Source organism: Homo sapiens, chromosome 6, assembly GCF_000001405.40.
Source record: "Homo sapiens chromosome 6, GRCh38.p14 Primary Assembly".
NCBI classification, from domain to species: Eukaryota; Metazoa; Chordata; class Mammalia; order Primates; family Hominidae; genus Homo; species Homo sapiens.
This window is the reverse complement of record NC_000006.12, coordinates 32,633,433-32,655,546: the sequence shown is the minus strand read 5'-3', so window position 1 is coordinate 32,655,546 and position 22,114 is coordinate 32,633,433. Positions and strand designations below refer to the sequence as shown.

Genomic DNA, 22,114 nt, shown 5'->3' with positions numbered 1-22,114 from the left:
TTGGGGTCATTTGACTGACAGTAGCCAATGGAACTTGCAAGTAGGTGCATGGTGGTGTATGAGATGCTGGAAACTCCATAACCTGAGTCACTTGAATAACTGTGAAATTAAGTCTCCTTATTGAGTTAAGCCACTGAGATCTACTTTTTACTGTGGGTTAAGATCTTGTTGCAACATAACCTTGCCCTTCCTGATTATCATGAAATGTTTAACTTAAGGAACAGAGTTCTTAAGTTAATAGGGTGAATCAATTGAGTTAATGGAAGTTAAGAGGTGATTTTAAAAAACAGAAAACTTTATTTGAACAAGAAAAAGTTAAAAATGTTACACTTCGAAAAAATTTTAAACTCGTTAATCATTTTTAATTGACAAATAACTGCATTTACAGGGTACTACATGACTTTTTGATACATGTGATTAAACCAGGCTAATTAACATATCCATCACTTCACTTTTTTTGTGGTATGAATATTTAAAATCTCTCTTAGCAATTTCCTTTTTTTTTTTTTTTTTTGGGACAGAGTCTTGCTCTGTCACTTAGACTGGAGTGCATTGGTGCTGTCTCCACTCACTGCAACCTCCGCCTCTGGGATTCAAGCAATTCTCCTGCCTCAGCCTCCCAAATAGCTGGGACTACAGGCATGCACTACCATGCCCAGATAATTTTTGTATTTTTAGTAGAGACAGGGGTTTCCCGAGACAGGGTTTCACCATGTTGGCCAGGCTGATCTTGAACTCCTGACCTCAGGTGATCCACCCACCTTGGCCTCCCAAAGTGCTGGAATTACAGGCGTGAACCACCATGCCCAGTGCAATTTTCAAATAGGCAATACAGTTGGCTCTCTGTATCTGTGGGTTCCACATCCTCTGATTCATTCAACTGTGGATTGAAAATACATAGAAAAAAATGAAAAATAACAATATAACAATAAAAAAATTCCAATTCCAAAACAATACAGTATAATAACTATTTACATAGCATTTACATTGCATTGGGTATTATAAGTAATCTAGAGATGGCTTAAAGTATATGGGAGGATAAGCTTAGGTTATATGCAAAAACTAAGCCATTTTTAATAAGGGACTTGAGCATTCTCAGATTTTGGTATACAGAGAGGATCCTGGAACCAATCTCTCATGGATGCTGAGAAATGACAGTGCATTATTATTAACCGTAGTCACCATGCTGTACAGTCGATCTCCAGTACTTATTCCTCCTGTCTAACTGAAACTTTGTACTTTTTTTTTTTTGAGACAGGGCCTAGTTCTGGCTGGAATGCAGTGGTATGATCACAGCTCACTGCAGCCTTGACTTCCTGGGCTCAGTCCATCCTCCCACCTCAATCTCTGGAGTAGCTGGGACTACTGGCATGCCCCACCATGCCTGGCTAATTTCTGTATTTTTGTAAAGACAGAGTTTCAGCATGCTGTCCAGTTGGTCTTGAACGAGGCTCAACCAATCCACCTGCCTCAGCCTCCCAAAGTGGTGGGATTACAGGCATGAGCCACCACAACCTGCCCTTCTTTGTACCTTTTGACCAACATTTTCTCATTCCTCCTTGTCGCCCTCCCTACTACCCCCATTTCCCCACCTGCTGTGATTTTGACTTTTTTAGATTCCACATGTAAGTGAGGTCATGTGGTATTTGTCTTTCTGTGCCTGGCTTATTTCCCTTAACATAATGTCCCCCAGGTTCTTTAACATAATGATGTAAAAGATTTCCTTCTTTTATAAGACTGAATAGTATTCCATTGTGTATATAGACCAGTTTCTTTATCCACTCATCTGCTGATGGACACTTAGGTTGATTCCATCTCTTGCCCATTGTGAGTAGTGCTGCGATGAACATGGGAGTGCAGATATCTCTTTGATATACTGATTGCATTTTCTTTGCAGATGTACCCAGGAGTGGAATTGCCAGATCATGTGGTAGTTCTATTTTTAATTTTTAAAGAGATGATGAATTTAAAAAAAACATTTATCTGGGCCGGCCACAGTGGTTCACGCCTGTAATCCCAGCACGTGGGAGGCCGAGGTGGGTGGATCATGAGGTCAAGAGTTTGAGACCAGCCTGGCCAACATAGTGAAGCCCCATCTCTACTAGAAATACAAAAATTAGCTGGGTGTGGTGGCACACACCTGTAGTCCCAGCTACTCAGGTGGCTGAGGTGGGAGAATCACCTGGGAGGCAGAGGTTGCAGTGAGCTGAGACCACACCATTGCACTGCAGCCTGGGTGACAGAGTGAGACTCTGTCTCAAACAACAACAACAACAACAACAAACATACATTTATTTGTTTGTTTTCTTCCACATGAATATATATGTATTCTCAGGAACTAGAACACTGTTTCTGTTGTGGATGCTGTTCTGTTCTACCTGCCTCCCTTTGGGACTGAAGGATTTATTCTCTCATTGCTGGGAATGTTGCTGGCTGACTGCCCTTAGCTGTCAGCCATCCCCTGGAATTGCCTTAGGTGATGAAACCTGCCTCATCGGATTTTACTCCACTTCCCAGGAAGAATCCACCTATAATGACTGGTCAGTGTGGGGGTATAAATGTCCTAAACCCTTTCCCTAATTTGGGCCAACTCTGAAAGGCTCTTACAGCTTCAGAACTCCCTGGGGGTTAGGCTGAAGACTTTTTGTGACTGAATAATAATACAGTTTCTAAAACCCTGCTTTAATTCATGAGCCATCTTTCATAATTCTTTTGGTTACAAATGTAATTTAAATGTAGTGATCTTTGTGACTTCTTCCTTAACTATGGGCAATGTCTCTTTCCTCCGTCTTAGAAGATGAAAGTTATTGACATTGTTACCCTTCCTTTCCCCTCCACTTTATGCTTCCACTTGACAAAATGAGGTACATGCACCCTTTTTTCAATATCGTCAAAGCTGACCATTTTGACATTCTGCTGTAACACTAAGCATCCTTGGGCTTTGCTCGTAGCTTAATTCTAAAAGTTGAAAAAATTGTTCATCATTTTCTAAATATCACTCATGTATCAGACATTCTTTGCTTGCCAAGGAACTGCTATAGTAGGATCCCTTTTCAGTGAGGTCCTGCATTAAATTCAGTTTCCTGGATTCTTTACCTTCCCATTTCCTGATTAACAGTTTCACTTTACTAAGTAATATCCTTAGTCAATTTCTAATAAAACTGTGTGGTAGGTAAAATTTATGTCCTTTCATATCCAACAGTATTTTTATTCTTTCTCTGTGCCTGATTGTGATTTTGAAAAGGTCTACATTTTTTTTTTTTTTTTGAGATGGAGTCTCCCTCTGTCCCCAGGCTGGAGTGCAGTGGCATGATCTCGGCTCACTGCAAACTCCGCCTCCCGGGTTCAGCCTTTCTCCTGCCTCAGTCTCCCGAGTAGCTGGGACTACAGGCACCCGCCACCGTGCCCAGCTAATTTTTTTTGTATTTTTAGTAGAGACGGGGTTTCACCATGGTCTCGATCTCCTGAGCTCATGATCCGCAAGCCTCGGCCTCCCAAAGTGCTGGGATTACAGGCGTGAGCCACCGTGCCAGGCCGAAAAGGTCTACATTTATTAATAAAAATAATTTTCCATTAGAACTTCAAGGCCTTTCTTATTATCTTAATAGAAGCATCTAGGAGTCCGACTTTCTGTCTGTTGTCAGTTTCATTTTGGTTTCCCTTACTGGAATATTTTATGATGTTTCTTTAACCCTTGAGGCTCTGAAATTTTGAAAATGATATATTTCAAGATGAGTATTAATTTTGATGAATACCTGGCAATATCTTTCTATTTAAAGAATTGGGTCCTTCATATTTGGAAATTTTTCCCTTATTATTTGTTTTGATAATTTTCTCCCTTCATCTTCTCTGTTGGTCTCTCTAGCTCTGTAACCTGAGGTTGGACTTCCTTGGTCTATTCTCTGTTTTAGCTTTTCTACCACATATTACATTTCATTGTCTTTTTTTTTTTTTTTTTGCTTTGAGACGGAATCGCGCTCTGACACCCAGGCTGGAGTGCAGTGGCTCGATCTCGGCTCACTGCAAGCTCCACCTCCCGCGTTCACGCCATTCTCCTGCCTCAGCCTCCCGAGCAGCTGGGACTACAGGCGCCCGCCACCATGCCCGGCTAATTTTTTGTACTTTTAGTAGAGACAGGGTTTCACCGTGTTAGCCAGGATGGTCTTGATCTCCTGACCTAATGATCTGCCCGCCTTGGCCTCCCAAAGTGCTGGGATTACAGGCTTGGGCCACCACGCCTGGCCATGTCTTTTTAAATGTCAGTGAGATTTTCTTGATTACATTTTTCAACCTTTCTATTAAATTTTCCAATTTTTTGTACCATTCTATTATTACTTTTACAGATTAAGAATTCTTTTTTGGCCGGGTGTGGTGGCTCAGGCCTGTAATCCCAACACTTTGGGAGGCCGAGCAGGGAGACCACGAGGTCAGGAGGCAGAGACCATCCTGGCTAACATGGTGAAACCCCGTCTCTACTAAAAATACAAAAAATTAGCCAGACGTGATGGCGGGCGCCTATAGGCCCAGCTACTTGGGAGGCTGAGGCAGGAGAATGGCATGAACCCAGGGAGCTTGCAGTGAGCCAAGATCGCACCACTGCACTACAGCCTGGGCAACAAAGCGAGACTCTGTCTCAAAAAAAAAAAAAAGAATTCTTTATTATTATTATTATTATTATTATTATTATTATTATTATTATTATACTTTAAGCTCTAGGGTACATGTGCACAACGTGCAGGTTTGTTACATAGGTATACATGTGCCATATTGGTTTGCTGCACCCATCAACTCGTAATTTACATTAGGTATTTCTCCTAATGCTATCCCTCCCCCAACCCCCGACTCCCCGACAGGCCCCTGTGTGTAATGTTCACCTCCCTGTGTCCATGTGTTCTCATTGTTCAACTCCCACTTATGAGCGAGAACATGCGGTGTTTGGTTTTCTGTCCTTGTGATAGTTTGCTCAGAATGATGGTTTCCAGCTTCATCCATGTCCCTGCAAAGGACATGAACTCATCCTTTTATATGGCTGCATAGTATTCCATGGTGTATATGTGCCACATTTTCTTTATCCAGTCTATTATTGATGGACATCTGGGTTGGATCCAAGTCTTTGCTATTGTGAATAGTGCCGCAATAAACATACATGTGCATGTGTCTTTATAGTAGCATGATGTATAATCCTTTGGGTATATACCCAGGAATGGGATCGCTGGGTGAAATGGTATTTCTAGAACTAAAAATTCCTTGAGGAATCGCCACATTGTTTTCCACAATGGTTGAACTAATTTACACTCCCACCAACAGTGTAAAAGCATTCCTATTTCTCCACATCCTCTCCAGCATCTGTTGTTTCCTGACTTTTTAATGATCACTGTTCTAACTGGTGTGAGATGGTATGTCATTGTGATTTTGATTTGCATTTCTCTGGTGACCAGTGATGATGAGCATTTTTTATGTGTCTGTTGGCTGCATAGATGTCTTCTTTTGAGAAGTGTCTGTTCACATCCTTTGTCCACCTTTTGATGAGGGTTTTTTGATGATGTTTGTTTTTTCTTGTAAATTTGTTTAAGTTCTTTGTAGGTTCTGGATATTAGCCCTTTGTCAGATGGGTAGATTGCAAAAATTTTCTCCCATTCTGTAGGTTGCCTGTTGACTCTGATGATAGTTTCTTTTGCTGTGCAGAAGCTCTTTCATTTAATTAGATCCCATTTGTCAATTTTGGCTTTTGTTGCCATTGCTTTTGGTGTTTTAGTCATGAAGTCTTTGCCCATGCCTATGTCCTGAATGGTATTGCCTAGGTTTTCTTCTGGGGTTTTTATGGTTTTAGGTTTTATGTTTAAGTCTTTAATGCATCTTGAGTTCATGTTTATATAAGGTGTAAGGAAGGGATCGAGTTTCAGCTTTCTACATATGGCTAGCCAGTTTTCCCAGCACCATTTATTAAATAGGGAATCCTTTCCCCAGTGCTTGTTTTTGTCAGGTTTGTCAAAAATCAGATGTTCGTAGATGTCTGGTGTTATTTCTGAGGACTCTGTTCTGTTCCATCAGTCTATATATCTGTTTTGGTACCAGTACCATGCTGTTTTGGTTACTGTAGCCTTGTAGTATAGTTTGAAGTCAGGTAGCGTGATGCCTCCAGCTTTGTTCTTTTTGCTTAGGTTTCTTTGCTTTGTTCTTTTTGCTTTGTTCTTTTTGCTAAGCTTTAAGCTTAGGCTTGTCTTGGCTATGTGGGCTCTTTTTTAGTTCCATGTGAAATTTAAAGTAGTTTTTTCCAATTCTGTGAAGAAAGTCACTGGTAGCTTGATGGGGATAGCATTGAATCCATAAATTACCTTGGGCAGTATGGCCATTTTCATGATATTGATTCTTCCTATCCACGAGCATTGAATGTTCTTCTGTTTGTTTGTGTCCTCTTTTATTTCATTGAGCAGTGGTTTGTAGTTCTCCTTGAAGAGGTCCTTCACATCCCTTGTAAGTTGGATTCCTAGGTATTTTATTCTCTTTGTAGTAATTGAGAATGGGAGTTCACTCATGATTTGGTTCTCTTTTTGTCTATTATTGCTGTATAGGAATGCTTGTGATTTTTTCACTTTGATTTTGTATCCTGAGACTTTGCTGAAGTTGCTTATCAGCTAAAGGAGATTTTGGGCTGAGACGATGGGCTTTTCTAAATATACAATCATGTCATCTGCAAACAGTGACAATTTGACTTCCTCTTTTCCTAATTGAATACCCTTTATTTCTTTCTTTTGCCTGATTGCCCTGGCCAGAACTTCCAATAATATGTTGAATAAGAGTGGTGAGAGAGGGCATCCTTGTCTCGTGCTGGTTTTCAAAGGCAATGCTTCCAGTTTTTGCCCATTCAGTAAGATATTGGCTGTGGGTTTGTCATAAATAGCTCTTATTATTTTGAGATATGTTCCATCAATACCTAGTTTATTGAGAGTTTTTAGCATGAAGGGCTGTTGAATTTTTTCGAAGTCCTTTTCTGCATCTATTGAGATAATCATGTGGTTTTTGTCATTGGTTCTGTTTATGTGGTGGATTACATTTATTGATTTGCGTATGTTGAACCAGCCTTGCATCCCAGGGATGAAGCCAACTTGATCGTGGTGGATAAGCTTTTTGATGTGCTGCTGGATTTGGTTTGCCAGTATTTTATTGAGGATTTTCACATTGATGTTCATCAGGCATATTGGCCTAAAATGCTCTTTTTTTTGTTGTGTCTCTGCCAGGCTTTGGTATCAGGGTGATGTTGGCCTCATAAAATTCTAATTAGAAAGATTTTAAACTTGTTTGCTGTTACATGAGCTTTCTCTATTAAATCTGTAATAATTTTCATGTTATTAAATTCTCATCTTCTCTTTCATATTGTTAGAGTTTCTCAAACATTGCTCTGCCCTCCTCAACCTTGTCCTTTACCTACTGTATACCATCTTATTTTATCTCAAGATACATTTCTTCAAGCCATCTCTAAACGCCCCCAAATTATACCTGGTTCCTGCGTGACACTTTCTCGTTTTACCTCATTCTTTTCCTTTATAAATTATTCAGAGTTTGTAATTACATGTTTGTGGAATTATGTAATATATGTATATTTCTTCCCACTACAGTGTAATTTCTATGAAGACAATGAATGTATCTCTTTTCACCTTATTTTAATGATACTCATAACAAAGTATTGTACTTATTGCTATAATGGTACTCCATGACCATTTTTGCATTTTTGATGAATTAATGAACATATAAACAAGTCTGGGGGCTTAGTATAGCCAATAATAAAGGAAAAAGTAATTTGCTCTCCTTTGCTGTTATTAGTTCTTGCATACACATTCTTTAGAGTTGCATTTCTGAGAGGTTCCCATAGACTTAGGAAGGATTTGGATACTCAGGGTTTCCTAACTGTGATAAAAATGAGAAGAGCCTAAAAACTAACATAACTTCAAACAGAATGCTTCTCTGCCTATGTTTATGGGACTTTCCTGGAATGCATTTTTAAAAAACTTTGCATTGTAGAAAACTTCAACTGTGTACAGTAGTAGAGAGAAGAGTACCATGGTTTTTTTGTTTGTTTTTTCACAGAGTCTTGCCCTGTTGCCCAGGCTGGAGTGCAACAGCATGATCTCAGTTCACTGCAACCTCTGCCTCCTGGGTTCAAGCAATTATCCTGCCTCAGCCTCCCAAGTAGCTGGCATTACAGGTGCCCACCACCACGCCCAGCTAATTTTTTATATTTTTAGAAGAGACAGGGTTTCGCCATGTTGGCCAGGATGGTCTCGAACTCCTGACCTCAGGCGTTCTGCCCGCCTTGGCCTCCCAAAGTGCTGGGATTACAGGCATGAGGCACCGCGCCTGGCTGAGTACCATGTTTTAAAAGGCCAGCTTTAACAATACTCAATTCATGGGCAATTTTGTAAACCCACCCAATTAATCATACGTGCACACTGGCTTATTTTGAAGATACTTTCAGATCTCATATTTCATTCATAATTATTTTATTATGAAAATCTAAAGTATAATGACTTTTTAGAAAACATAACAGCAATCTCATTACCACACTAAAATTAGATAATTCCTTAATACAGTCGGTGTCAGTTTTTCTGATTGCCTCATACAAATTTGGTTCATATATTTCTTCAGCCTTTTAAAATGTATAGCTTCTCTTCTCTCTCTCTCTTGAATTGTTGCTGAAGAAATGGAGTTGTTTATCTAGTAGAAGTTTCCATATTCTGGATCTTGTTGGTTGCATCCCTGTGATGTCATTCACTGTGGGATTTGTTAGTTGGACTCCAGAAAATAACAATAACACAAATTGTTAACACCTATCGACTACTTACTATGTGCCAGTCTGTGCATGAAGTGCTTCATTTGTAATAAAATGTTTAATTCTTCAAGTCCCTAGTTTAAATGTGGTAGGTACAAACCTGACATATTTCATTTGATTTTTAAAATTTTGTAAGTTTTATTTATTTATTTACTTTTAGAGATGGAGTCCTGCTCTGCTGCCTAGGCTGGAGTGAGCACAGTGGCACAATCTTAGCCCACTGAAGTATTGAACTCCTGGGCTCAAGCACTCCTCTTGCCTCAGCCTCTAGAGTAGCTGGGACTACAGGAGTGCCGCCATGCATTAATTTATTTTTGTGTTGTAGAGACAAGGTCTTGCTTTGTTGCCCAGGCAGCTGTTGAACTCCTGGCTTCAAGCAATCCTCCCCTATTGGCCTCCAAAGTGCTAAGATCACAAGCACGAGCCTCTGTGACCCACTAATTTTGTAAATTTTAAATAGTGTGATATTAAGTATTAATGAAGTCACACTTTATGTGTGTAATCTGAAATAATTCAAATAGCTCAAATAATTGTTTAAGAATTGCATGATTTTAAATCAGGCAGGTAGATCTGTAACCCTATTGATAGTAGGCCCTACATTTTTAGCTGATAAAAAGAACTATTTACTCTTATTTTTTAGAATTAGTTTTAATTCTGCTATTTTAACATTACGTAAATATTTTTTGAATACATCCTTTTAATAAAATACTGCTATCATTAAATTTGCTTTCCACAGTGCTGCTTGAGGAAGGAGTCTGAGTTGGGCAGCATTTGTAGATTTCTGCATGACTCTGGTCATTATGCCATTCAGTATACCCCTTATATTACAGACACACACACACACACACACACACACACACAAATGCACACAACTCCAAAATGCTGGGTTCTTGCCTCACGAATCATTGAAATGTATATGAAATATATTTGAAACCCTATTGCTAAAAGCTTCTTAGCACGTTGTGCATTTTAATGTGACTGTTTTTCATACTAAAATTTTTATTTTACACATTTAGGATCATAATTGGTTACCTTCTCTTTTCCTTTTTAAAAATAGACCTTATTTTAAAGCGGTTGTAGGTTCACAGAAAAACTGAGCAGAAGGTGCAGAGGTATCCCAGAGGTCCCCAACCCCCGGGCCATGGACCAGTACCAGTTGGTGGCCTGTTAGAAACTGGACCACGCAGTGGGTGAGCCAGCATTACCAACTGAGCCCCGCCTTCCGTCAGATCAGTGGTGGCATTAGATTCTCATAGGAGTGCGAACCCTATTTTTAACTGTGCATGCAAGAGATCTAGGTTGCATGTTCCTTATGAGAATCTAACTAATGCTTGTTGATCTGAGGTGGAATAGTTTCACAGTTTCATCCCCAGATCATACCCCCATTCCCCCAACTATCTGTGGAAAAATTGTCTTCCATAAAACTGGTCCCTGCTGCCAAAAAGGCTGGGGACTGCTGCCAGATACACTCTGCTCCCACACATGCATAGCCTCCCCCATTAGCAACATCTCCCATCTGAGTGGTACATTTGCTATAATTTATGAACTTACATTGGCACATCATTATCACCCAAAGTCCATAGTTTACATTAAGTCTAACTCTTGGTGTTATATATTCTGTGGATTTGAGCAAATGTATAATGACATTTTTCACCATTGTGGTATCAAACAGAATAGTTTTATTGCCCTGAAAATCATCTGTGCTCTGTGATGGACATTTTCATGATCATCACTGGTTCAGATTTCCTGTGCTTACTGATTCCCAGTCTGTGTTTTAAATTATTTTCTCCTTGAACTATCTTCACTTCTTCCCCAAAGTAAACAGGCATAAAGATCTGTTGTATATGATATACCTTGAATAAACACTTATGGGCCATAAGGAGGGAATATATTCCCTCTTAGAGAGTTGAAAACCAAAGTCAAATATTACAACTTCTAGTGCTAAGAGTTCTCTTACCAATCCAATCTCAGCCTCTCTCATTCTGGAAAAAGAAAAATATCCTTCAATTATCATATGAAAAGAAATTCACCCATAGCTCTACATTTGAATCTCCTAAATCATTAAGAGGCTGAGAAAAACAAAAGTGCTTTTCATATAATATGATCCATTCTTTTAAATAAATTAATTATAAATATAACCACAATGTTTTCTTATGTGTTCATGTACTATGTGTAAGGCATTGACTAAATATCAAAATTATTCAAATTTTATCAATAACTCTGCAAGGAAAGTATTATTACTCCTACATTGTGGATGAGAAAAGTAAGGCCAGAAATGTTAGAGACTTCACACATTTATAAAGTTTAAAATACTAGCTTCAAAGTACTGAGTCCTGGATTTGGATTTAGGGTTCTTTGCACCAAACTATACTGTATCAATTATTGCATTAATGTTTTGTATTTTTTCTCCAATTAAAATTTAAACTCACTGATGCAGGTAGCATGGTTAGAAATATCCTCATGGATTTCATAGCTGTTTAGAGCCATGAGGTCGCTGCTGACCCATTTCCTCTGTGAGAGTTTCTCCTCGGAGATGGCGAATCCAGTGGAGGACACAGCACCCACTGCTGCTGCTACATTGTCTCAACTGTGTTGTTCTTCCTAGGGTTTCTCTCATAAGCTCATGCTTTCCTTAGTCAGGAGGGGTTAGGGGAAAGGGCTGGGGATTTCTGAAGATATTGGCATGTTTCCAAGAAACATCCTGTAGCCATATTCACTATACTGTCTCCTTCATGCCAGAGTGGCACAGGGAAAGCTACATGGTTATCTAGTACAGCTTCATTCAGGAGGTGAGGCAGACTGCGCCTCTATTCAGGGCTCCTAGATATGTCTGTGGCTTCTACTCCCGTCCCTTTTCCCATTGTCACTAACCCTATGTGAGGAATAAGTATTTGTTCCTTTTCAGACACCCACATTATTGTCTTATTCTAATGTTTTTCTGACTTCCATTTCTTTTCCTGCCTAAAGAATTTTTATCTCAAGGTGACAAGGGAAGAGGAAGGCTTCTACTGTCATCATTCTTCATAAATTTAAAGTTTTGAGAATACATTTTTACTTTTGATATTTTTGAGATTCAAATTTCCTTTATCCTAACTTATTTCTCTGTCATACTTTTAAAAGCCACATTGAAATTAGTACAGACTTATTTTTTGGTTCTAAAATTTTTGCTATAACAATTCTGGGCCAAGGGCAGACGGTATCCATTAATTTCATTGTTGCCTGAATTGAGGGGTGGGTGGCAGTGCCAAGGGTGGGAACACAAGGAAGCAAGAAATATTAATGTCAGCTAAGAAATCAACATATTATCAGGCTATACTGTACTTGGTGGCTTCTGTGTTACTGGACATGAAAAATGATCTGGGAAATGAGGTTAAATTGGATTGAAACATAAGAGTACCCCAATTATTAGCCATAGTTTCAGTCAGCCCTGGATGAAAGATGGAAAAATTTGACATAGATCTCATAAAAGGAATTTATTGCTTCCTTGGAGATTTTAGATGGAGGTTACTGAGGAATTAGGTAGCCGGGTGGCTTACCCCAGGCATGTCTTTGTAGGTAACATTTGAGAAAAGAAAAAAAAAATCAGGAGGTCAGGGAAAGAATGTAAAGGCATTTGTGAGCTCTGAGGGGATATAGCAGCTTAAGTCCCAGAGAAAAGGTGAGAGGAGAAATATTTGGAGGAGAAAAGGGATATGATAAATCGGGCCAGAGAATAGTGCTAGGTCATTTAGCAAGTCCATTCTTCTGCTCCTGTAGATGGCGATGCACCTGCAACAGGGCAGACATGAGATCAATGGGTCCGAGGGGGCTCCTGTGTCATCATCATGCCACTTCCCAATTCCCCTACAACTTTCAACCACATTCATGTCCACAACGCCCTCCCACTTTCCTTCCTTTCATACTGCCGCTTCAACTGTAACCAGTCTCAATCTTACCTTCCCTTCCAGGATGGGATTCACAATGGCCCTTGGTGTCTGGAAGCACCAACTGAACGCAGGCCTTGGATGATGAAGACAGTGCCCACCACAATGCCCATGAGGCCCACAGACAACCCCAGGGCACAGACCACAGTCTCTGTGAGCTCTGACATAGGGGCTGGAATCTCAGGCTCTGTGGAAGTGAAGTTGTTGAGGTCAGAATGCAGAGTGTGCTCATGTGCATGTGTGTGGGATGGGATGGGGTAGAGGGTTGGCTCTGCAAAGACTCAAGGCCCCAGGCTTAGGGAGAAGAGTGAAGTCTATCATTAGAAAACCATGAAGTGGCAGGCCCACTCCCATCCTGTAGAGTGTACTTTCATTTTCAATAAATCTCTGCTTTTTTTGCTTTATTCTTTCAAAAAAAAAAGAGAGACAGAAAAGAAACCCATGAAGTGTGGAAAACAAGTTTTTGGATATAGGAGTAAAAGGCAGGAAGTTCTGAACTTGACAGACAAGAAAGAATCAAAAAATGATGAAACTCATCCTTACCCCAGTGTTTCAGAAGAGGCTGGTCCAGGCCCCAGTGCTCCACCTTGCAGTCATAAATCTCATCAGCAGAAGGGAGGAAGGTGAGGTAACTGATCTTGAAGAAGGAATGATCACTCTTGGAGAGGAAGCTGGTCTCAGAAACACCTTCTGTGACTGACTGCCCATTGCTCAGCCATGTGATGTTGACCACAGGAGGAAAGATGTTGTCCACAAGACAAATGAGGGTGTTGGGCTGACCCAGTGTCACGGGAGACTTGGAAAACACTGTGACCTCAGGAACCTCTGTGGTGAGGAAACAGCACTGGTGTGAAGTGTGAATAGCTCTGCCCTGAAGTTCTGCATTACATCCTGGAAGAGCCCTCCTACCAGCATTTCACCACCTGATAGTCAAAGAGGTCTTATTTACCTTCTGCTTGGGAGCAACGACACATTGCCTCTGCTTTATTCCTGTGCCCTTCTCTCTGTGGGCATGTTTAATAAAGTAGGAGGTTGATGAGACCTCTCCTAGAAGGATTTGCTGAATGCATAATGGAAAGACCCTTGTATTACATGGGAATATGTGATTTTAGAGATGGGAGATGATAAAATTTCAGCAATTGCCATAAGAAGATCTGGGGACCTCTTGGGAAGAAAATAATGAACCCTGGTATGGAGGGATAACTTAAGTAAAGAGAGGCAGAATGGTGGACGCATACCATTGGTAGCAGCGGTAGAGTTGTAGCGTTTAATCATGATGTTCAAGTTGTGTTTTGCCACAGCCATGTTTCTCAGTGCACCCTGCGGGTCAAAACCTCCAAATTTGCTGAACTCAGGCCACCGCCAGGCAGTCTCCTTCCTCTCCAGGTCCACGTAGAACTGCTCATCTCCATCAAATTCATGGGTGTACTGGCCAGAGGGACCGTAAAACTGGTACAAGTTTACACCACAAGAGGCAACGTGGTCAGCTGATGAGTGAAGATGACAAGCAGGAAGGCGGAGAACAGGGGAAGAAAGAACCTTAATACACAAAATGATGGAAGAAACTGACTTTCAAATATTATGGGCTTCATTTTTTGGCACAGTCTGTGGACATTTCCAGCCCCTGCTTCCTCCCCTCTTCATGTTGGTAGTTGTCCAGTTAAAAGTGCACTTTCTTTCCCACTCTAGTGTGCGCTACACAAGGGCAGAATATCGCATGTCCAATTTTTACTATTTCCTGAGTGCCTGGCATGTCATGGACTTATGATTAAATAATGTAATTGAACAAAAGAAGGAATGAATGAGTTATCATAGTATTTAGCTTTCTTAGTCAGAAATTAGGTTTACTTCCCTCTGCTTCCTGAGATTTATCTTTCACTTAATTCTTTCATTGGTTAATAACAAATTGATTATACTTCCTTTCCTCTCAGGACTGGCTCAGAATAGGACACTCTACACAGAGATCTTTCTTTTTTTTTTTTTTAAAGGAAAAGCATGCAGGATCTTATTAATTTAAAATAATTTCTGCTAACAATTGTAGGGTATAAGAAAGAGTATAACAAGATTGGTAATAACATTACAAAATATATAATAAATAAACAATGCCTCCTTCTAAGGTCTCTGTTTTGTTAATAGTAATGGTCCTTAGAGGAGAGCAACTGATTTCTTCTGAAATGAAAAGTGGAAGCTCTACTAGTTTTTGGATTTCTGTCATTCCCCCCACCTTTTTTTTTTTTTTCCTGTGAAGGAGATTACTAAATGTCTACAGCATTCTGACTCAACACTTATATCACACTTTTTCCTCTAATGGGCAGTGTGCTTGTCTGAGGATGCCAGAGCAGAATGGCAGCCATGCAGTACGACTCCAGCCAAATGAGCCAAACTGGACTTTTTTGTCAAGACATGTGTAAGCCTTTTACCATCGTATCTTTCCTTCCTTCCCCACTTTCTGAGCATCCACAAGTGTCAGACATAGCCGGAGATGTGTAAAACACCAATCAGGCATGGTCTACTATTAAGGAACAAACTGAATAGTGGAAGAGTCAGGTAGGTAAGGGAACAGATACAATGTACTGTAGTAAGTTCTCTGAGGAGGATATCGACAGCCTTACAGTCCAACATCCTTCAAAAGTATCTGCCAAGCAAGACAAACTACATTATCCTTTCATGTTCCCTGGTCTTTGCAGTGGTCTGTTGTTTTTCTCCCTGAAATGGAATTATCTTTTAGGACTTCCTGGAGAAATTCTAAAATCCATCCTTGAGGTTTCTGCTTAAGTTAACAACTTTGTAGCTGAGTCCTCTCATCAACATGTTTTTGACCACATTATGACCTCCAACCCCTCCGTCTCAACATCTGGCTGTCCAAGTTGTCTGTTCCTCTTCCAGCTCACCTTCTTCCCTATCCAGCATGACTGCCCTGGTTGGTCTTAACAGGTCACCAACAAAGCCTCCTTATCCTTGCCATAAATCTTGACTCCTTGTTCAAACATGAATATATGTGGAATACATGCAGTCTTTCTTTTCTTCTGGTACTTGTCTTGGGTGCCAAATTTTGCTAGAGGACGTCACCCTGCTGGCCCACCTGGAACCAAGTCACTTGTATTGTTTCAGCCTCTGCTGGGTCCACTGCCCTGCTCAGCAATGGCCTTCTGCTTTCCTGCACCCCATACTGTTTCCATCACTAATCTGAGCACCCTCTGCAGGGAAGACAGCATGACTTTTCATCTTTGAATCCTTAAAACTTAGCTCACTGTGTGCTCAAACATGTGTATTGAATGACAGTTGCTATATTCGAGGACCACATAGATTTTGGGGAAGACGGGCAGGCACACAGGTAGCAGAACCATACGAAGGCCAGGATCAGTCATGACCAAGGCTGCATTCTGACATGTGAGCCCCGAGCATTCTTGCTTGTATGGGCCTCTTCCTCCACAAAAATATGGAAAATTATATTTTATGACTGAATTGGTATAAAGACAATATAATCTAGGCTGAATTAAAAGTTAAAACATTTTCTTAGGCTCTAATATTCCATTATTTTTCTAATTTTAAAAGGAGTTAAAACCTTCTCATGTGGCTTTACAGTATGGAGGGTCCCCTGCACTGCCCACATTGTGCCTAATGAATGAGCCAAGCCTGACCAGGGCACTCTGGTGTGAGGTTGAAGAAAGGAAATTTGGAACAAAGACGCCAAGCGCTCTGGAGAAGCAGGTGAAACTTCCACTGCCGAACAAAATCATAATGGGAGCAGCCACGGTTAATAAAGTTGTGAAAGTTTAAAGTACCTTCCAGTTCACTTCCCCTTTTAACTATCTGACTTTTCAACTTTTGTTTTACAAACCCACTGTCCATCTCTATAAAGGAGCAGGGAGTCAGAGATGGATCCTGAAAGGGAAGAGGGAGAAAGGGATGCATGAAGAGAGGTGGAAAGAGATGGACGACAAAGGCAGAGGAGAGTAAGAGACCAAATAATTAATCTGTGCTTCCTTTCTTCCTTCCTTCCTCTTTCTTTCTGTCTTTCTTTTTCCCTTCCTTCCTCCCTTCCCTTTTCTTTTCTTTTCCTTCCTTCCTTCCTTCTCCTTCCTTCCTTCCTTCCTCGCTTTCTTTCCTCTTTCTTTTTGAGACAGCGCCTCTCTCTGTTGCCCTGGCTGGAGTGTAGTGGTGCCACCATGGCTCACTGCAGCTTCCGCCTCATGGACTCAAGTGGTCCTCCCACGGCAGCCTTCTGAGTAGCTGGCACCACAGGCACACACCACCATGCCTGGCTAATTTTTATTTTTCTTTTTTTGTAGAGATGAGGTCTTGCTATGTTGCCCAGGCTGGTCTCAAGCTCCCAGGCTCAAATGATCCTCCTGCCTCGGCCTCCCAAAGTGCTGGGATTACAGGCATGAGCCACCTTGTCTGGCCCACTTTTCTTTTTATAGGACTTTATTAGATGAGGTGAAGAACAGGTAATTTGGGTTGATAATTTGAGAATAAAATGATTTATTTTACCAATTTTTTCTACTTCTCAATTTTAAAATAAAATGATCCCTTATTTTGCTAAAGAAAAGAAATGTGAAGCTATATCTGTAATAGAAATATGTAAAAAAAATTGACATTCATGTTTTCACTATTTACAAAGCTTAGCCACATGCCCATTTTATTTGATTACTTGTGAGGTGACACATATGAGGCAGCTGAGAGTAAGTGAGGACCATGTGGTAAAATGATTGTTGAAGGCATTCAGCCTGCTGGACTCCTTTACCCACTCCCCACCTGTGCCAGTTCCCATGTGGAAATGTGAGTAAGTCTGAGAGAAAGAAACGGGCAACATTTTAAATATCTATAGAGTACATAATTGATGGAATGACCCCAAGATCTACCACCGGAGACATCCGAAAAGCTTCAAAAGTTGTTCAGGGAAATTTGAGAATGACACTTCATAAATTTTTAATAATAAAAAATTATCCACTGATGGAAACCTCACTAATTTTTGAGGCAATCATGATGGAACGACATAGAGACCTCCAGGCCGTAGTCACTGAATATAATATAAACAGAATAGCGTCCTTAGTGAACACAACAGCATAGATAACAAAAAGAGTAGGTTGGGGCTCTGGTTTCCTGAAGGAGGAACAGCTATAATTTTTAATTGTCTTAATACTGAAAGGGCCCTTAGGAAATCTCTACAGTTTCTCTGCAAATCGCTTTATCTCTTTTCCTTCAATTTACTGTTTTTCAGCTCCAGAGAACATCCCTCACTCATGCACTCACCCACAATGTCTTCACCTCCACAGGGGCTCATCACGGTGGTCAGAGCGAGGGCCCCCAGCAGCAGAGCTTTGTTTAGGATCATCCTCTTCCCAAGGCAGCCTCAGCAGTTGGTGTTCTGAGCTGTAGAGTAATTGTGAGGACCTCAAGACAAGGAAATCTGAAGACACCCAAACCAAACCCTGCCAAGTCAGGTTTTGGCCAATTAGAAAAATCCCCTATGGTGACATCTCAGTTACTAGTTGAAGAGTTTGTATTAAGAGCCCTGGAAGGAGACGGGGCAATCCCCTTGTGATGCAGCCTCTACTCAGAGTGGACTTGAGGAATTGTTCTATGAATAAAGGGAGGACATTAAATTGGAATCTTCTCTGGTGTGTGCATGTCTGCCAGTCGCAAGAGGGATGGGTGTTTTTCTTTTTTTTCCTTTTTCTTTTCTTTTTCTTTTTTTTTGAGACGTAGTCTCACTCTGTCACCCAGGCTGAGGTACAATGGCAAGGTCTCGGCTCACTGCAACCTTTGCCTCCCGGATTCAAGCGATTCTCCTCCCTCACCCTCCCAAGTAGCTGGGACTGCAGGCACCTGCCACCACGCCCAGCTAATTTTTGTATTTTTAGTAGAGACGGGGTTTCACTATGTTGGCCACGCTGGTCTTGAACTCCTGACCTCATGATCTGCCCGTCTCAGCCTCCCAAAGTACTCAGATTACAGGCATGAGCCACCGCGCCTGGCCAGGGGTGGGCATTTCTGAGCAGCCTCGTGGATAGATGAGGTCATCAGTTATACGGCATCCTTCAGGATGTTCTGGCTTACAACCTCCAGGAATTTTTCCCTGAGTTGATTTCCCTCCCTGGCAGTCCCCATCCCCTGCCCTTTCTCTGGCTTCTGTATGTGGGTTAGCTGTTTTTCTTTTAGCTTCCACAGTGCGTATGGAATTCTCCAAATGTTAAGCTGACCCCACCTACCTAGGGATCTCTGCTGGTGGTAGCCCAAGCAATACCTTTGCCTTTTCTACTTGTATAAATCCAGCTGGGTAAGTTCTTCTCAAGTGCTCAAAAGCTCCAGGTGGTTTTGGCCAGGGCAATAAAAAGGGGTTATAATGTCAGATGGGGCTGTCTATAGTAACTATATGAGACTTTATACAGTTTTTCTTTGCATTGAGTAATCCTTATGTTCTGTGTTTTGGTGCTTCTTGAGTACGTTTAAAGGAAATTTAGGGACATTGATTACATTTAAAATTTGGCTGGCTCAATTACTCTAAGAATTTTTTTTTTAATTAAGAATATGAAGTCAAAAGTTGAGGGTAGAATAAGAATTGCACTGCCTTAGAAAAATGGTTTTCTTTTCTTAAACTATCAGATCTTTTAAAACTTGTTATCCTACCCCATTAAAATTCCAAATATTTGCAAGGGACTAGAGATTGAGCTAAAGTTAGTCCTTAGAGGGAAACTTATTATGTTTTTTCAGATGCATCTATTTTCTGTATGTGATAGAAACCGTAAGTTAATGGAGCTTCTATTTAGAATCACTCTGTCCTTGATAAATGGCCTTCTGAGATTCTCAGCACTATGTTTTACCTCCTACTGGCAGAGACTGTAAAAAAAAAAAGTAAAACAAAAAAAAAAATGTCCTGACACCTGAGAGCTGTCTGGATGTAATTAACAAAGGCTTGGGGTTGCTAGCAGCTAGCCTGGCACTCCCAGGTGGTTTTGGTTCTCCTGTTGGAGATAAAGGATTTCATAGAACATCAGAATCAGACAGGTACTCTGTGAGCACAGTGGATTGAGACAGAACACCTGAATGCTCAGTCATCATGTCTGAACCCAGACAAAACATAAATATTGTCCAAACCACAAAAATGACCAGGCACATCTCTCTCTTGGGAGTGATTACTGCTTCTTTACCAACCACGTCTGTAGCCTCAGGATAGTCTTCTGTCCCTCTAGGTAGGATTTATGAAGCTACCCAATCATAACATTGCCACCCCAACCCTCCACTTTCTGTCAGAATCCAATTAAAAGCAAAATCCCTCTTTCTTAAATCCTCCCCAAAATCACCTAAAACAAGCACAAACCTTACAACTGATTAATGGTCAATTTTATGTGTCAGCTAGACTGTGATCCCCAGTTATTCAGTCAAACACTAATAATCTAGATGTTGCTGTGAAGATATTTTGTAGATGTCATTGAAGTTCATAATCAGTTGACTTTAAGAATTTATCCTAGGAAAACTGGGTGAGCTTAATCTAAGCTGTTGAAAAGCCTTAAGAGCAGAGCTGAGGTTTCTCTGAGGAAACAGAAATTCCACTCTGGACAGTGTGTCAGCCTGTGCTGAGAGTTCCAGCCTGCCCTTCCTGATAACTACCTCCCAGAGGATCTCTGACTTGCCTAGCCCACCCCCACAGATGCAAAAATTAATTCCTTGCATCATTCTCTTAATATATGTATTCTCGTGGTTCTACTTCTTTGGTTCCAACAATCTCTTACTGAGGGGCTGCATGATTCTCATGGTGAGTTTTATCCATCATTGCAATAAACAATAAAGCTGACTTGTTCATTGCTTGTATGCTCCTGCTGGTCTTTGGCTGGAGGCATTGAGGTACCTCATTAGGCAGTTGTGAGAAATGTACATACACTGCACTTGGAATGAAAAATTCCTGGACTCTTTACATATACTTGTCATATTTTAATATCGTTCTCATTTTCCGAGGAGGACATTAAAGCCCAGAGAGTTGAAGGACTTTTCCCAGGGTCACGCAGCTGGTAAGCAGCACAGATGTGATGCTATGGGGCAAGCCATGAGTCCTTGTGAGGAGTGATGGGTGAGAGTCTCCTTCTGTGCAAATTCAGAATCCAGTGCCTTAACATGATTAGGAGAGATATTTGACCCTATAGGTGGCTTTATTCTTTCTAGCTCCTGCCATTGTGGATGAAGAGGGTTTTTGAGGTCCCCTTTGAGATGTGCTCCCTTTGCCACTCAATACCCTTCTGGCTGTGTAGCAAATAACATGTTTTTATCTTTTTTCCTGTATCCAGACTTACCTGCTTTGTATCTCATGGAAATTCCTTAGGACTTTGGCAAATGAGCAAAATGTTTTGGGATGGTAGTCCAGAATTTCACCTATTAAAATTACAGTTTAAATAACTCAACTCCAGTTAAGAAGTTAGGGTGTTAAATGTAGGATTAGAATTGTATCTTGGATGGGAAGTTGAGGGTGCCGTTTCAGACCTCACATCCTGTGGGGTGAAGGGAAAGTCCAAGCAAGGCAAAGTCATTGAAGAGATAATAGACGCCATTTCTTTTTTTCTTTTTTTGAGACAGTCTTGCTCTGTCGCCCAGGCTGGAGTGCAGTGGCGTAATCTCGGCTCACTGCAAGTAGCTGGGACTACAGGCACCTGCCACCACGCCCGGCTAATTTTTTGTATTTTTAGTAGAGATGGGGTTTCACTGTGTTAACCAGGATGGTCTCGATCTCCTGACCTCGTGATCTGCCTGCCTTGGCCTCCCAAAGTGCTGGAATTACAGGCGTGAGGCCACGACTGGCCCAATAGATGCCATTTCTATCTTTAACCTAGTTTTGTCTCTTTCCTCTTCCTGCTTCATCCGGCCATAACACAGTGAACGTTGTTCCAGTTGCTTATGTCTTCAGGTCATAATTTTAATGTAAGGTAAAGTAATAAGTAAATGAGACTCAGAAGAACAGCATACCATTTTAACAAGAGCTAATTTGTTACCTTTGTCTAGTAGAAAGAGAAAAGGCCCTCTTCATAAATTAATAGTGGGAATAAAATTTGGAGTTCAAAATAGTACTTTGTCCAACAATTTTCTCAGAAAGCACTTATTGACATGCCATTGATTCCATGACTAAAATAACAATGGGATGTGCCATTATAATTGACATCATTAAGAGCCCTCTAAGAAATTAGGTAGAATTTATGTTAGTTCTAATAAACAGTTATAACATTCTCTAAGACTGTATATTTTCAAATTGCTTTAGTCTGACTTTATGCACTGGTGAAGTTTTACTCTGAAGGCCAAGACTTCTGTCTTGCAGTAGTTAAAGCTGCTTCACAATAATAAGAGAGTCTAGAGTAGCAAAGTAAAAAGAATACAG

General features: G+C 40.8%; 1 protein-coding gene and 1 long non-coding RNA gene across 3 annotated transcripts, besides 1 other annotated feature; one reads left to right on the top strand and one right to left on the bottom strand.

Annotated features, from left to right (window-relative positions):
* Window positions 1-274: 274 nt before the first annotated feature.
* Window positions 275-18,141, bottom strand: HLA-DQA1 (major histocompatibility complex, class II, DQ alpha 1). 2 transcript variants are annotated; one of them, NM_002122.5, is made up of 5 exons: window positions 18,007-18,141; window positions 13,989-14,237; window positions 13,294-13,575; window positions 12,763-12,937; window positions 11,863-12,595 (listed from the first exon to the last, which is right to left on the bottom strand). In NM_002122.5, the coding sequence occupies exons 1-4, from the start codon at window positions 18,086-18,088 to the stop codon at window positions 12,783-12,785; spliced, it is 768 nt and encodes a 255-aa protein (NP_002113.2). In that variant the 5' UTR covers window positions 18,089-18,141; the 3' UTR covers window positions 11,863-12,595; window positions 12,763-12,782. The 2 variants fall into 2 exon arrangements, with proteins under 2 accessions (XP_006715142.1, NP_002113.2); XM_006715079.5 differs by lacking the exons at window positions 11,863-12,595; window positions 12,763-12,937 and adding an exon at window positions 275-880.
* Window positions 14,237-20,556, top strand: HLA-DQA1-AS1 (HLA-DQA1 antisense RNA 1). The gene is made up of 2 exons (XR_007059544.1): window positions 14,237-15,157; window positions 16,306-20,556. It is a non-coding gene; the product is annotated as an HLA-DQA1 antisense RNA 1 (long non-coding RNA).
* Window positions 18,188-18,337: an enhancer, noted in NCBI's record as "active region_24360". NCBI's record gives its function as "activates an Ori minimal core promoter by ATAC-STARR-seq in GM12878 lymphoblastoid cells {active_cell/tissue: GM12878}" and the evidence as "EXISTENCE:reporter gene assay evidence [ECO:0000049][PMID:35858748]".